The sequence below is a fragment of the Homo sapiens genome, chromosome 14, assembly GCF_000001405.40.
Source record: "Homo sapiens chromosome 14, GRCh38.p14 Primary Assembly".
NCBI lineage: Eukaryota > Metazoa > Chordata > Mammalia > Primates > Hominidae > Homo > Homo sapiens.
The window spans coordinates 103735677-103751867 of record NC_000014.9 but is presented as its reverse complement, the minus strand read 5'-3'; the positions used below and the strand labels follow the sequence as shown (position 1 = coordinate 103751867).

At 50.6% G+C, this 16191-nt stretch overlaps 1 protein-coding gene across 13 annotated transcripts in view, besides 2 other annotated features; it reads left to right on the top strand.

Annotated features, from left to right (window-relative positions):
* Positions 1–16191, top strand: part of PPP1R13B (protein phosphatase 1 regulatory subunit 13B) — a 115620-nt gene that overhangs the window by 96947 nt on the left and 2482 nt on the right. For 8 of the 13 annotated variants that reach the window (XR_001750206.3, XR_001750205.3, XR_001750204.3 and 5 more), the window contains 10 exons: positions 1934–2074; positions 5315–5495; positions 7152–7256; positions 9045–9214; positions 9577–10078; positions 11275–12044; positions 12845–12982; positions 13056–13189; positions 14008–14174; positions 15666–15865. Coding sequence is in view for 9 of the 13 variants with exons in the window: in XM_011536593.4 (XP_011534895.1) it covers positions 1934–2074; positions 5315–5495; positions 7152–7256; positions 9045–9214; positions 9577–10078; positions 11275–12044; positions 12845–12982; positions 13056–13189; positions 14008–14174; positions 15666–15865 (2508 nt within the window). In the remaining 4 variants the exon portion in view is untranslated. Of the gene's footprint in view, positions 1–1933; positions 2075–5314; positions 5496–7151; positions 7257–9044; positions 9215–9576; positions 10079–11274; positions 12045–12844; positions 12983–13055; positions 13190–14007; positions 14175–15665; positions 15866–16191 lie in introns of those variants that run through there. The other 5 variants (XR_007063997.1, XM_005267487.6, NM_015316.3 and 2 more) reach the window with 2 other exon arrangements.
* Positions 3067–3116: a silencer, noted in NCBI's record as "silent region_6175". NCBI's record gives its function as "represses an Ori minimal core promoter by ATAC-STARR-seq in GM12878 lymphoblastoid cells {active_cell/tissue: GM12878}" and the evidence as "EXISTENCE:reporter gene assay evidence [ECO:0000049][PMID:35858748]".
* Positions 8071–8852: an enhancer, noted in NCBI's record as "H3K27ac-H3K4me1 hESC enhancer chr14:104209353-104210134 (GRCh37/hg19 assembly coordinates)". NCBI's record gives its function as "activates a minimal SCP1, AML or CMV promoter by ChIP-STARR-seq in naive H9 embryonic stem cells {active_cell/tissue: H9 hESC(naive)}" and the evidence as "EXISTENCE:reporter gene assay evidence [ECO:0000049][PMID:30033119]".

Sequence of the window (16191 nt, the reverse complement as noted above, 5' to 3'; positions counted from 1 at the left end):
CTTAGCTCAGACTGCTATAACAAAATATCATAGGCTGGATGGCTTAAACTATAGACATTTATTTCCCACTGTTCTGGAGGCTGGAAGTCCAAGATCAAGGTGCCAGCAAATTCAGTTTCCAGTGAATGTTCACTCCCTGGCTTGCAGAGAGCCGCCTTCTCGCTGTGTCCCCACGTAGTGGAGAGAGAGTTGTAGTCTCTCTCCGTGAACTTCATCATGGGGGGCCCCACCCTCATGACCTTGCTTAAACCTAATTACCTCCTAAAGACCCTGCCTCCAGACACCATTACAATGGGGTTAGGGCTTCAACATAGAGATTTTGGGGGACACATTCAGTCCTTAACAATCCTTAAGATTTTCATGTCTCAGAAGTTGTCATTCAGCAGGCGATTTTTCAAGCCAGAAATAGGTCTTGCTGCTTTATTAGCACTTGCTAGAAAAAATATTACATCATTTTATGAAATGAGGGTATTTAACTACATAGAGTAAAATCACTTGTGGTTGCTGTTAAGTTCTTTAACGTAAATGCATAGAAGTACTACAGTATTATAAGGTTTCATGACTTCTACATTTTAAGCGATTGTTAAAAGTGCAGCGTTTTAAGGATTTTTTGGTGAAATGTGATGAGTGTAATATAAGGATGTCATTTATTTCCAACTTTTTGGACTGCAGTCCAGGTTTTTGTTTGTTTGTTTTTGTTGTTGTTGTTTTGTTTTTCTTTTTTTTGAGACGGAGTCCAAGGCTGGAGTGCAGTGGCACGATCTCGGCTCACTGCAACCTCTGCCTCCAGGGTTCAAGCGATTCTCCTGCCTCAGCCTCCCCAGTAGCTGGGATTACAGGCACCCGCCACCATACCTGGCTAATTTTTGTATTTTTATTAGAGACGGAGTTTCACCATGTTGGCCAGGCTGGTCTCGAACTCCTGACCTCGTGATCTGCCTACCTTGGCCTCCCAAAGTATTGGGATTATAGGCGTGAGCCACTGCGCCCAGCCTGCAACCCAGTTTTTATTGTTGTTTTTTGTTTGTTTGTTTTTTGAGACAGAGTCTGCCTCTGTCACCAAGGCTGGAGTGCAGTAGGGCAATCTCAGCTCACTGCAACCACCGCCTCCTGGTTTCAAGCAATTCTCCTGCCTCAGCCTCCCGAGTAGCTGGGATTATAGGCACATGCCACCACACCTGGCTAATTTTTGTATTTTTAGTAGAGACAGGGTTTTACCATGTTGGCCAGGCTGGTCTTGAACTCTTGACCTCAGGTGATCCACCCACCTCGGCCTCCCAGAGTGCTGGGATTACAGGCGTGAGCCACCGCACCCGGCCTGCAATCCAGTTTTTAAAAGTACATTTTACGTCCTGTTGAGTATACACACGGAAGTGTGTATGTACTAGTGCTGTGGGCATCCGAAAGTTTAAGACAGCTCTTACTATGGGAAGTACACTCTGATATTTTCTGTTCTGTCCTAGTTCATTTCTTTAAAATGCTGGTTGCAAGCCACTAAAATGATGTAAAGGTGCTTCACTTGGTGACTCAGGCCATCCTTTTTGGTCCTTTTTGAGTTTCCTGCTGCCTCCACAGTAAGGTGCATCATGTGGTGGGCTCAGGCCTGAAGCAGCTCCATGGGGTGGAGCAGAGCATCCTTTAGTTTCTGAGAGTCCCAAACACCGCACTAGTCTCCTGTAATCATCATTGGCACTAGTCATTTCGTGTGCTTTGAAGAAGATGCTTACAGATGTTTGCTCTTTCTTTGTTCCATGAGAACGCTGTCCTGGCTTATCTCTGCTGTACCTGTGAAATATTCCACACAAGGTGGCAGTGCATGCATGTAAATATACATGAGAACTTAATGCTACTTTTTCTTTTTTAATCTCCCTGGCAATGAGAATTTGACTTTTAATTAACACAAATCATAAAGGTTGTATTTTGTGGTTTGTAGATTCGTAACCAACTTAACCAGGAACAAAATTCAAAACTTCAGCAGCAGAAGGAACTCTTAAATAAGCGCAACATGGAGGTGGCCATGATGGACAAGCGAATCAGTGAACTGCGTGAACGTCTCTATGGGAAAAAAATTCAGGCATGTGAAAAAGTTTTTGTGAGATAAACTACTAAAGATAGTTTATCCAAGCATTGCCCATCTTCTGTAAGTAGCAGTATGCTCCCCCATCCACCATAACTGATAAAACATAAATAGGCCATAAACCATCAAAAATGACAGAACAGAGTTCCTTCTCCCAGTGACTCATTTATTTCCTGGTGTGTGGAGGCAGAACCATCCTCAGCCTGCAGCCTTGCTCTCAGTGTCCTGGCCTTCCTTCCTCCCCATGTGTTTCTGTCTCCTCTTCACTGGGGGATGCTGTTGGCTCTGGAGTCACAGCATCTGTCACGGTCCGCACTCTGCCATTTTAAGCTGTGCCACTTTGAGCAAATTCTTTGACTTGCGTAGCCTCATGTTCTTGCTGTAAAGTGATTTGTCCTACCTGCCCCGTGAGTTGTTGTAAGGATTCTTATAAATAAGCCATGTAGAAGGATTTTGTAAACTCTTGACCAAAATGCTATGTAAGGGGTTATGCTTCTAAAAAATCCTTATTTGATACTGAATTTTAAAGGTAGTAAATACTCATTGAAAAAGTAATACAATAAAATACTCATTGAATAAATACTCAATGAAAAAATAATACGATAAAATACTCATTGAATAAATGCTCATTGAAAAAATGAGTATTAACCTTTGAAATTCAGTATCAAAGATTTTGGACTTGCCAGCGTCCACAATCACATGAGTCGATTCCTTAAGATAAATCTCTTAAGTACAGAAATATTTAAGGGAAAATGTGAAAGTCCTTTCCACCCTGTTCTCTAGAGGTGATAGTTGCTAATGGTTCCAGTCTTTTCCCTAATAAAGACACAAAGGTACAGAACTTTAACTGAAAATGGGATTGCAGGAATTACACTAGTCTCACTGCTCACCTTGTCTTTTTCTAACTGCAGCACGGGTGTCTTTCCAGGTCGTTACTTCATTCTGGTTGCACCATCTGAAAGCTATTCCCTGGTCCCAGGGCCTATACCCCTTTACCACCCTCTGTAGTCAGGCAGGGAGTCCTGAGTCTTGCTGCTGCTCACAGTGCATTGGTGAGCACATGTACCACTGAGCCGCCTGCATGGAGGAGGGGCGCCTGCACTCTGTGTCTTTGGCCGGATGTGGCACTTGACTTTCTCGCACCTGTGGCACTCAGTGATTAGGGGAGCAGTGCCTGAATGCAGAGCTGAGTGCATTCTGCCCTCGTGGTAGGAGAATGGAGCACCCACTCTCCTGACCCACCAGCAAGGACTCCCTTCCCACATCTCCCTTCTGCATATAGTTTGGTGACAGAATAGTGTCCTCTTGTTAGCCTCTACTGCTCTGAAAGATGCTCTGAGGAGGCAGCATGGGCTTGAAGGCCTTTGCCTAGGGGGAGTGGGTGTGGAGGGTGGTAGACGTAGAAGGGAGCTTCCAGTTCTGTGGATGTCACAGTCTCTCATTTACAAATCTGCCCTTCTTTTAAAAAAACAACACAGTGAGTTTAAAGATCAGTAGTTTATTTGTACAACTTTATGATTTCAGATGTTGGTTTTCCTTTTTCTCAAGATTAACAACAAAGAGGCCATGTGAGAGAGAGGCTGCAAGCACTTTCCCTGTGCTTACATATGCTCCTCAGTAATGGCGTAGTAGTCAGGGCTTCCTAGAGAAAGAGAACCAGTAGCGTGCGCGTGCACGTGTGTGTGTGTGTGTGTGTGTGTGTGTGTGTGTGTGTGTGTGTGTGTATGTGATTTAAGGAATTGGCTCACATGATTGTGGACGTTGGCAAGTCCAGAATCTGTGAGGGCGGCCGGCAGCGTGGAGGCCCAGGGAGGATGTTGCAGCTGGAGTCCGAAGGCCAACTCTAGGCAGGATCCCGCTTTCTCAGGGCGTCTCTCTGTTTCTCTTAAGGCATTCCACTGATTGGATGGGGCCCACCCACCTTCTAGAGGGTCATCTGCTTCACTCAAATCTACCAATTTGAAAGTTAATCTCTTCCAGATTGGAGACTATTATTCTAAGTGAAGTAACTCAGGAATGGAAAACCAAACATTGTATGTTCTCACTCATAAGTGGGAGCTAAGCTATGAGGATGCAAAGGCATAACAATGACACAGTTGACTTTGGGGACTCGGGGAAAGGGTGGGAAGGGAGTGAGGGATAAAAGACTACAAATTGTGTGCAGTGTGCACTGCTAGAGTGCACTAAATCTCACAAATCACCACTAAATAACTTACTCATGTAACCAAACACCACCTGTTTCCCAAAAACCTATGGAAATTAAAAAAAAAAAGTTAATCTCATCTGGAAAATACCTTTTCAGCAACATGTCGTCTGGTATTTGGCCAAATATCTGGTTACTGTGACCTAGTCAAGGTGATGTGTAAAGTTATCCATCACAAACAGCTAGATTCATTCCACCTACACTTCAAGGGATCGCCTTGAAGAAGTCAGTATTTTTGCAGAGATGCGTCTCCACCCAAAGGTCCTAGGTACCTTTGAGCAATTGTGAAAGCCATAACCCCTCACCCCGAAATGACCTGTCCTCATGCATATAGAATCTTACAATCACAGGGGTTATGGATCCTATTTAGAGCCTATATTGAAATCTTGAGGACGTCAGTAGTTCTCTAGAATCCCTGTTCCAGGCGCCTCTGTTCCTGAGCAGTGTTATGTGAACAGTGTCCTCTGTCTGTGGCTCTGTGTCCTGGCTGAGAAAGGCAGCGCTGCCTTCAGGGAACTGGGCCCATTGCTGGGAGTCAGAGCCTTACGTGCTCACTGTGCCCCACGTGGCTTAGACAGTACCGGCTACAGCCCTTATCCCGACTCCACGGGTGTGAGCACAGAGGCTGAGTCACCTGCCCGAAGCAGCACAGCGAGTAAGTCACAGAGGGGATTTGAAGCCAGGCTCAGAGCCCAGGATTTGACCAGTGTCTCTGTGCCCACTCAAGGGAGGAAGAGTATCCTGAGTAAGAGGGAAGCTGCATGTGGATCACGGGGAAGTTGCTCTGCCCTCACATCAGCTCCTCATGTGTACAGCTCCAGATGGGTGGGTGTTGTCGGAGAATTGCTCATAGGAAGCTACAGTTCCTTCTCCACAGTCTCCCCTTCTAGATGCTGATCTTTCCAGATGACAGGCTTCCTAAAAACCAACCACTGAGTGAGTGCTTTCTGTCCGAGCTGGCAGTCTCTTGCACTAAGCTTAGGACTTCTTTGAATGTAGGAGAATCTTGACTCTCATTTCTTCCCAATTTGTAGCTGAACCGTGTGAATGGCACGTCATCACCACAGTCCCCTCTGAGCACATCGGGCAGGGTCGCTGCTGTGGGGCCTTATATCCAGGTTCCCAGTGCCGGAAGCTTTCCTGTGCTGGGGGACCCTATAAAGCCCCAGTCTCTCAGTATTGCCTCAAATGCTGCTCATGGAAGATCCAAATCCGGTGAGTGGTCCTGGCCCTCTTCCTGGGGGAGAGTTTGTGAGCAGGGAATGGGGCCTGCGGTGGAGGGGCGGGGGGTGGGGCAGGCTCCTGAGGCTCTGCCCCACACATCGTCAGACTCCAGGCTCAGTCTCCCCGTGAGGCGCTTGGAGAGCTGTGTTCCCCTGTGGTAACAATCCTAAAAGGAAAACAAGTTATTTTTACTGAACTAGAGGTCTCTACTGTGTGGCTTTTCAAAACACAAATGATTAATTAAAACTCTGATCCATGGGCCGGGTGCAGTGGCTCACGCCTGTAATCCCAGCACTTTGGGAGGCCAAGGCGGGTGGATCACCTGAGGTCAGGAGTTCAAGACCAGCCTGGCCAACATGGTGAAACCCTGTCTTTACTAAAACTACGAAAATTAGCCGGGCGTGGTGGCGTGCACCTGTAATCCCAGCTACTCAGGAGGCTGAAGCGGGAGAATCACTTGAACCTGGGAGGCGGAGGTTGCAGTGAGATCGTGCCACTGTGCTTCAGCCTGGGCAACAAGAGTGAAACTTCATCTCAAAAAAAACAAAACAAAACAAAACAAAAAAAACTGACCCACGAGTGTCCTCTCTTACTGCAGGTTTATTTACTCTGAGGACACTGAGGCCCGGCATGGATGCCTCACCACAACTCGGCTACAGCCAGCCAAGTGGAGGGGCTGCCCCTACAAACAGCGCTCTGTCCTCATTGATCAAAGTCCACACATCGTTGGTTTGGTCTTGACCTCACAATGGTGCTGTGTGATGGACTTGGACCTCTAGTGTAGTCCATGGGTGGTGCCCCTGCCAAGCAGAGGGCAAGCTGTTCATGGAGAGTCTGTTTCTCAACCAGTGCATTAAAAGTGTTGGGGCTTCCTTGCAATAAGACTTTCTTTATGACTGAGGTTGACACATTTCCCTGAAACACACAGCATCAGGAATCCCTGTCCTGATGTATTGAAACATTCCTTCGTTTATGAAAACAGTACTGTTACTCTCTGGCCATCAGGCCTGTGTTTCGAGCCCCTTTTTCGGGATTGTGGTGGATTTGTGCTCATCTTTGTTTGCTTCATTTTCTCTTGCCTGGCCCCCAGGAGGGACAGCGACACATCTGTTGCCCCCACTGGGGAGCTTGGGTCTTGTTATGAACTCCGAAAGAGAAGAGCATCACCAGCACTTGTGAGCCACAAGCCCCCACTCAGATCCCTTACGGCCGTGTCTCAGCAGCCACATAAAGTGTGGGGTTGGCATGAACCCCTAACTGCAGGTTGCTCTGCTAAGCTGTTATTTATAGTTTGAACCACCCTGTGGTAGGAGTAGATATTTGTCTGTTTCCAGTGGGAGGTAATTAGCACAGCCAGCTACTTCTCTGCTGACTTCCTTTGAGAAACTCCCCAAGGTGAGAAATGTCTCCTGTGTCCCGTCCTTGTTGGTGTCTGCTGTGCTGCCTCAAGGGGTTGCAGCAAGGAGATGCCTTCACGAAGCCCTGGTCCTAGCCTCTGCTGTGGATGAAAGTCATGGACACGGGGAACCTGTGCTCACCTTCAGAGTCGGGGCAGCAGCTCAGCCCAGAGGTGGAGCTGGGCTGTGAAGCCTCCTGGCAGGGACTCTAATCCCTTGCTGTTGGCTGTCCTGGTTCTGTGTCACACAGATGGCCACAGTAAACCCAGAGTGACCAGCTCATGGACAGTGTCAGACCTCGACGTCGGGCCTAATTATGGCTCCTCGCGGCCCTCTGCAAGCCCATTTGTAAACCGTATGTTGGCTGACAAGCTTAGTGGGAAGCTGCGTCCTCTTTAATATGTACAAAATCACCTGTCACTTGTTTTTCCAAACTGACAAAGGTCTGCTCATCACATCTAGATTTGAAAAAGATGCCACACAAACGTAATTTGTCCCTTTCTTCAACAGACAGGTATGGAGTCTGGGTGGGGCCACGTGTACCCTCCCATCCTTAGAAAGAGTGTGACACCAAGGGACAGATGCTGGCGTAGCGCGGGTTTTGTTTTGGAGGGTTTTTTGTTTGTTTTTACAAAATTAAGATATTTCTGAGTTTATTATGAGGCTTTTAGTTTTACAATCATACTAAAAGATAATTGTTCCTCTATAAAATGATTTTCCTTCTGTACCTCTTGCCTTCTTCTGAAGAAAGGAGAAAATTGCTTTTTAGTCCCCACTATGGCTGATTTCCATAAAACTTCCTGTTGTTGCTGGGTGGTTTCTGAAGCACCTGGACAGCCACATTCCCTGTGACCCTGAGACCACAGGCCCTGTCCTTGGGGAGGCTGCAGGTTTCTGGCCACACATCCTCCAGGCCACGTGGAGCAAGATGGCAGTTGGTCCAGGGGCCTTGGAATGCCTCGCCAGGACCCACGGGGCTTGACTAGAGCTGTCTCAGAAGCCGCTGCCTGGAGCCTGCATCATAACTTCACAGCCCAGCAGTGTATGCAGCTGGGGTTGCGGTGCGGCTGCATCGGGTCAGTTTGGCTTAGGAGCAAGCCGTGTGAGGCTGCGGCTGATGGGCCCTGTGTTGCCCAGGCGCTCAGAGCGCAGCCGGGAAGCTTCCTCGTCATGTGCTATGAGTCCGGAGTTCTGGCTCAGACGTTGTTGTGAGGACCACTGATTTTCCTGCTGCTACTTAGTTATCCCCTCCTGCCTGTGCTGGCAGATGGGATAAGGGAAGGGGATGTGCTGTTCCTGCCAGGAGGGCCTAAAAGAGTCCCTCTGATTTCTGTCTGTCCCATATTGCTGATGGCGCTGGAAGCGTTGAACACTTTAGTTCAGTTCAGCACCTGTTCCTGTAAAAGAGAACCAGGAGCCTGTGTTATAATGGACTTTCGGCCACTGTGAGGGGCCTTGTGTTACAAGGGGATACTTCTGCACCCTTTTTCAGTTTGGAAAATACTCTGTAAAGAACCTGTCATTTCAGTGGCTTTCCTGAAAACTTGGGGTTGATGACCAGCTTTCTAATCACTGCAACAGAATGATAGCCTGCTCCTCCTGCTACGCAAATCAGTGGGAACCTGCACGGGCCTCCTGTGATCATAAGTTACCTTAGAGGGCAGAAATTTTTATCTCAATAATTAAAGTACTACAGGTCAAACCTATTATGAAGTCAAAAGATAAATCTTTTTTATTGCTCTATGTAATTGTATTCATAAATAGTGTTTCAAAAGTAAGGGCCAGTGCTTATTTTGTTTGGTGGTGCTGATGCAATGGATTTGACCTGTGTTAAAATAGGGTGCAGCCCCAGGCCCACACCAGTGGAGCCTTGGTTTGGCGTGAGTCTCTGGTAACACTTGAGGCGATTTGGGCGTTGGCAGTGAGCTGCCAGCAGAGCCCGTCCCTTGGTCTTGTGCACGGGTCTGTGGGTGCTGGAGGAGATCAGCAGTTGTGCATGTGGCTGGTGGTTGACCACTCGGTTAATGGATCTGCATCAGAATGGGATGTCCCAGTGCTGTTTTTGTTTCTGGCAGAGTGTTATTCTTAGGTTGGTTCAACTACATTGAGAAAAGTTTTACGTAAGTTCTGTGTTCTTTTCAAGCTAATGATGGAAACTGGCCAACATTAAAACAGAATTCTAGCTCTTCCGTGAAACCAGTGCAGGTGGCCGGTGCAGACTGGAAGGATCCGAGCGTGGAGGGGTCTGTCAAGCAGGGCACTGTCTCCAGCCAGCCTGTGCCCTTCTCAGCACTGGGACCCACGGAGAAGCCGGTAGGCCTGTGTCTTTACCACAGAACACAAGCGGGCTCTTCAACAGGGCTCTCTTCTGCCTTAGTACTAAGCTAAAGGGTATGACTTGTCAGGAGGCAAGTTAATCCTGTTATTGTCCAGACAACACCCAAAGTCCTAGAGGGTTACTGGGCCCTAAGAGCCTGAGCAGCCCACGAGTACACACACCTTTCGGTCAGAACTTTTGCAGACAGGCAATGAGCTCAACAGTGTGCCCCAAGTCCTGGTCACAGCCAATTTGACGGATTACAAATTCTACTGTGTATTCTCTTGGGAATGTGGGTGGAAATATTCTTAACTGTTCAAAGGGTGACTTTGTTTTTCTTCTTAACACCTAAACTTAGGGCATCGAGATTGGTAAAGTGCCACCTCCCATCCCGGGTGTAGGCAAGCAGCTGCCTCCAAGCTATGGGACATACCCAAGTCCTACACCTCTGGGTCCTGGGTCGACAAGCTCCCTGGAAAGGAGGAAGGAAGGCAGCTTGCCCAGGCCCAGTGCAGGCCTGCCAAGTCGACAGAGGCCCACCCTGCTGCCCGCCACAGGCAGCACCCCCCAGCCAGGCTCCTCACAACAGATTCAGCAGAGGATTTCCGTACCGCCAAGTCCCACGTACCCGCCAGCGGGACCACCTGCATTTCCAGCTGGGGACAGCAAGCCTGAACTCCCACTGACAGTGGCCATTAGGCCTTTCCTGGCTGATAAAGGGTCAAGGCCACAGTCTCCCAGGAAAGGACCCCAGACAGTGAATTCAAGTTCCATATACTCCATGTACCTCCAGCAAGCCACACCACCTAAGAATTACCAGCCGGCAGCACACAGCGCCTTAAATAAGTCAGTTAAAGCAGGTAGAGTGGGTTTATACTCTCCTTTTCTTGGGGCTAGGAAATTATACTTTTAATTAAGAAAATACTAATGTATTTCTTTACGTTTGGGCCACGTGCTATTTAGGATTAAACTTAATTCTTACATAAAAGTACAGCCTTGGGTGTCAGTGTGAGAAGGGAATGGAAGCTGGAATGCATGGAGGAGGCTGTTTTGCAGATGGCTCACAGTTCTCTGACTTCCTGTCTGAGCAGCCACCTCCGTGTGCTACTTAGGAAATCCAGCTCCGGGAAGGGTGAGATGTCGAGAATTTCCTCTTTTCCTTCTGTTTCGTGGTAACTTGTGCCGGGAGCTGTCCAGTGCGTAGAGGGTGGCCTTGACCACTGGCCCTCCTGGTAGTGGCTGAGCCCGACCCCTGGGCATGGGCAGTTTAAGGAGGGCGTCTGCTGCGTAGGAGCCTCCCCCATAGCCCAGAGGGGAGGAAAGCCTTGGTTTGGGTTATGGAGCTCAGATGTTCTAAGAAGGCAGCTGAGAGAAGGTAGCTTAGTTCCACACCTACCACAGAGGCTGATGGTGTTTCCGACTCTTACGGGAGGAAGCCGCGGGTCAGGTCTAGGCTAGGGCCTTCTTAGACATTCCTGGGCATTGGCTGCAGCTTCTAGACTCACAGTTGAGGGATTCCTGGACGTGCCTAGTCACTTCCTGCACAGGGACCTCCCAGGTGGTGGTGCAGTGTTCCCTTGTGGGGAGGGTTCTGGCTGTGGTGGGAAAGGCTTAGACCATTCTCAAGAGCTCCTGGACCTCCAGGTAAAACCTTCCTGCTCTGAGGAGGCGCGTGTGTCTCCGTCATGTGAGTTAGTCCAAGAATCAGATGCATGTTTAGTGGTTTTTGTCTTTTTCCTTGGCCAGAAAACAGGCAGGCTTGTCTGCGGCAGGAAAAGTCGGGTTAGCACCCTATTTTTTTCTTTTGAAAAAGCTCCAGTTCTGGAAACCCAAATGTAAAAACCGACACATTAGAGAGGCACTGCACCTTTCAGAAGGAGTCAGTGGAGGCTCTAAGAGGGGGAGGTTTCCTCAGAGATTTGAAATGAGAATTGAATAACAGCAGCAGATGTATATGTGTGTCTTTGCAGGAGCCTGTCTCTGGTGTAATCATAGGTGTGTATGACTAGATCTCTGTAGTGAGGTCAAAATTGCCTGTCCTTTGTGTCTTCCCCAGTGTATGGTAAGCCCGTTTTACCTTCGGGTTCAACCTCTCCATCGCCGCTGCCGTTTCTTCACGGGTCACTGTCCACGGGCACACCACAGCCTCAGCCACCTTCAGAAAGTACTGAGAAAGAGCCTGAGCAGGATGGCCCCGCCGCCCCCGCAGATGGCAGCACCGTGGAGAGCCTGCCACGGCCACTCAGCCCCACCAAGCTCACGCCCATCGTGCATTCGCCACTGCGCTACCAGAGTGATGCAGACCTGGAGGCCCTCCGCAGGAAGCTGGCCAACGCGCCCCGGCCCCTGAAAAAGCGCAGCTCCATCACAGAGCCCGAGGGCCCCGGCGGGCCCAACATCCAGAAGCTGCTGTACCAGCGCTTCAACACCCTGGCCGGTGGCATGGAGGGCACCCCTTTCTACCAGCCCAGCCCCTCCCAGGACTTCATGGGCACCTTGGCCGATGTGGACAATGGAAACACCAATGCCAATGGAAACCTGGAAGAGCTCCCCCCTGCCCAGCCCACAGCCCCACTCCCCGCTGAGCCTGCCCCGTCATCAGATGCCAATGATAATGAGTTACCTTCCCCCGAACCAGAGGAGCTCATCTGTCCCCAAACCACCCACCAAACTGCCGAGCCGGCAGAGGACAATAACAACAACGTGGCCACGGTCCCCACCACGGAGCAGATCCCGAGTCCTGTGGCTGAGGCCCCATCTCCAGGGGAAGAGCAGGTCCCTCCAGCACCTCTTCCCCCTGCCAGCCACCCTCCTGCCACCTCCACGGTGGGTGTCATTGCTAGACCAAAGCCTGGCCTTCCTGGTCATTCATGCAACCAGGACCTCTGGGGTCCTTCCCTTGGTCAGGCTGTGCTGGGAGCAGTGGGAACCAGGGATGTCCCTGAGTTACGTCTTGTAGGGAGGACGGACAGTCACACAGACAAATGGGGCATGAAAAGGCATGACAAATGGGGCTCGGCCACACAAATGCACAATGTGGCCAAGCCTTTCCCAGACAGCTGGTCAGGGAGCTCCAGAGGCTTTCCTGAGGAAGGGGAGCTGTCGCTGGCACCTGAAGGTCCTGTAGAGAGACGAGGGAAGAAGCATCTAGACAAAGGCCCTGGGTGGGAGGTCAGTGTTGACGGAGCAGAGAGGGAGCCAGGCGCCATCTCAGGGAACCCTCAGTGGGATTCTCTCCACTAGGATCTGGTGCCATAGCAGGAAGAACCCTGTCGCATGTGGGCAGGAACGAGCTGCTGGCTCCCATCAGCTACTTGGCAGTCACACGCCACCCTCCCTCCCACAGAGTCTTCCGAGGAGTGGCCAGAAGCTCAAACACAGCCGTGTCCCTCTGTGCGTGAGCCAGGGACTCAGGCCTCAGACAGGGCTCTCCCTTGTAGTGAGCAGAGTGGCCCTGGCCCTTATTTGAGGTGGTCACCTGGGCGCTGCTACTGCTACCACTCCAGGGCTGCTTCGCGGAGCCACTGTCTTTGGGCTTTAGCTCCCACCACTCCTTCCCAGCAGGCGTGGGTTCTTAGACTTCAGTGGACCACCTTTAACTGGAAAGCGTGCTTCCTTCCCAACAGAACAAGCGGACCAACTTGAAGAAGCCCAACTCGGAGCGGACGGGGCACGGGCTGAGAGTCCGGTTTAACCCCCTGGCACTGCTCCTAGACGCGTCTCTGGAAGGAGAGTTCGATCTGGTGCAGAGGATCATCTATGAGGTGAGCTGCAGCCGGGGACCAGTGCACGCTGCTGGGGGCGAGGGGATGGGCGCTCACAGGCCGTGTGTCCTAGGTGGAAGATCCCAGCAAGCCCAACGACGAAGGGATCACCCCACTGCACAACGCCGTCTGCGCCGGCCACCATCACATCGTGAAGTTCCTGCTGGATTTTGGTGTCAACGTGAATGCTGCTGATAGTGATGGATGGTGAGGCCCGTAGGAGTGTGGGGTGGACAGATTTACTTTCCCTGCTTTGCATAAGGAAAACAGGCGTGTTCTAGACAATTAGGAAGCACGGAAGAGAGAATTAGAGCAAGAACACCCATCATTTCATCCTTGAAAGACAGCTGTTGCCAGGGTTTCCTTGCCTTTTTTTCCAGCCTTTTCTCTTGATGATTTTGTTAAAAACGTGGCTGTGGTTATGCTCTTTCTGTGCCTCGTCATTAACATTGCAGTCTAAGCATTCTGTGAATCATTCCATCTTCCCCTTCTCATATGTTCCGTATGGACTCTTCACACTCTGTGCTCCGTGTGAAAAGCAGCCTCAGCATCCCCCTGGGTCAGGCATGTAGGTTGTCGCATTGTTCATTCCGTTTGCCTTCGGGAGCTCTGCTGCTGGGCGAGGCGTGTTGGTCTCCTGTGGGGGTTATTTTGAACTTTCAGACAGCTGACATTGTGCTGCATTTGAATCGTGGTAAAATACACATAACATAAAATTTCACATCTTAGCTATTTTTAAATGTGTGTTTCAGTGTGTTATGTACATTCACATCACCATGCAGTGTGGCGTGAACATCTGTGGATTGGCCATTTCTTAACCCATTCCCTGTGCCCCCTTTTCAAAATGTATGTATGGTCTGAAACAATTGGCTCATGGAAATCCTGCCTTTAAAGAAACAACACTGAGACTTGATGGCACAAAGGTGAACGCCTTCCGCGAGATTCCTTAGAGGGAAATCTCTGAGGGCCACGTCCTACAGGACAGGCAGTGCCAGGCCTGCACCTTCACCCACGCTCTATTCCAGGACGCCGCTGCACTGCGCTGCCTCTTGTAACAGCGTTCACCTCTGCAAACAGCTGGTGGAGAGTGGTGCCGCCATTTTTGCCTCAACCATAAGCGACATTGAAACTGCTGCAGACAAGTGTGAGGAGATGGAGGAAGGCTACATCCAGTGCTCCCAGTTTCTATATGGTACGCAGGGGAGGCCTGGGGCCACAGTGGTGCTGTCTGCTGTGGTACTGCCATGGCAACAGTCAGCCGGTGCCAGAGAAGCTTCAGCACAGCTTTCTGTTTGTTTTTTTTAAGACAGGAGACAAGGTCTCATTCTGTCACCCAGGCTGGAGTGCAATGTCGCAATCATGGCTCACTGCAGCCTCGACCTCCCGGGCTCAATTGATCCTCCCACTTCAGCCTCCCAAGTAGCTGGGACTACAGGCTTGTCCCACCACAGCCAGCTAATTTTTTGTACTTTTTTTTTTTTTTTGTAGAGACAGTGTTTCGCCATGTTGCCCAGGGTGGTCTCGAACTTCTGGGCTCCAGCGATCTGCCCACTTTCAGCCTCCTAAAGTGCTGGGATCACAGGTGTGAGCCACCGTGCCTGGCAGCACAGCATTCTCGAGCTGTTCCACCTTCTTCAGGGGCAGCCAGGATGTCTCACTCGAGTGAAGGTCACACTGCCCCTTGTTTTCATTCCTGAAAACATGTTTGAAAGTCCATGTTGTTAGAAGGATTCTGTGCCAGATTCCCAAGAAAACAAAATGACTTGGCTGTGCTTTGCATAGATGTTCTGTACCCTTGCTTCTGGAAGCAGGGCCAGCTCCTTTCCTGGGGTGGCCTGGGGCCCTGGCCATTCCCCGGAAACATTTGATGAATGAGGCTCATGTCCTAATTAAGCTGCTTTAGCCAGGGCCGCATTTTCCAAGAGCTGGAACATCTTCTCTATTCTGAGTATTAAACAGTCACAAGTCATTTATTCCACACATTACTTGAGAACATACTATGTGCCCTACACTGGACTCTAGGTTTGAAATTATCCATGAAAACAGCCATGTGATGCCCTCTTTGGCCCAAGCTCCCACAACAGAGCCAAGCAACAAACTCTCAGGCTGTGTGGCAGGGCTAGGGGAGGCACAGCAGCCCCCAGGTGAGTCCCGCCAGTGTGAGGAGGAGGCTGCCGTCACAGTGGCACCACCACAGGGAAGGGAAGCTCCCCATGGTCACCACAACTGGGTCTCAGAAGCAGAGTGTCCCACAGAAGGGCCCTTTCTTGGGAACCCACAAGTAGCTGCTCAGTCAGGGCTCAGTTGTGTGTAGTTTGTTCATTACCATCCAAGAGCAGTCACAGCTGCTCTAGCTAGTGACTTTAGAAATCTGTTCTGGCTGTGATTGCTAAGCGTCACCTTAAGAACAGCACACTCTTGCCCTGGGGCTCAGGAGCTCGTTTGTCCTGTCTGTCCTGCAGGACTTAGAAAGGGCCGGCAGCAGGAGCAGCAGCTGGGCCGGGCAGGGGAGGTATCGGGTGGGGGCCCTAGTCTTCAATAGTGTCTCATCTCCCTCGCTGGCCTCTGTGGGGCCTGCTGAGAGCAGCCTCGGCAGCAGCACGACTGTGTCCTGTTCCTCGAGCAGGGTCCCTTGCTGCAGGCCACCCTCTGCTGAGGCCTGACCATTGCTCTCTGGCTCCAGGGGTGCAGGAAAAGCTGGGTGTGATGAACAAAGGTGTGGCGTATGCTCTGTGGGACTACGAGGCCCAGAACAGTGACGAGCTGTCCTTCCACGAAGGGGACGCCCTCACCATCCTGAGGCGCAAGGACGAAAGCGAGACTGAGTGGTGGTGGGCTCGCCTTGGAGACCGGGAGGGCTATGTGCCCAAAAACCTGCTGGGGGTGAGCACTCAGGTTACTTACTGGGAAACTAGCTGCCCGTGTCTCTGTACAGCATGCGGTCCTATCCTGCTGTGGGGCTGGGGAGGGAGGCTTCGCTTCTCTGAGCCTCAGCAGCCCCCTCTGTAGAGGGGGAGGTGCCTACTTGGCAGAGCTGGCATGAGGCTCAGGCAGGGCCCCAGGAGGTTCCCCCAGCCATGCTTATGCCATGGAGGCCCGTGCGGAGGCTGAGTGCCCCAGTGAGGGGCCGCTCAATGAGCTCGGTTCATGATGAACTTCACCAAGTGGCCCGGCTCAGCCCACCCACACTTTCCCCAATCTAGAAATCT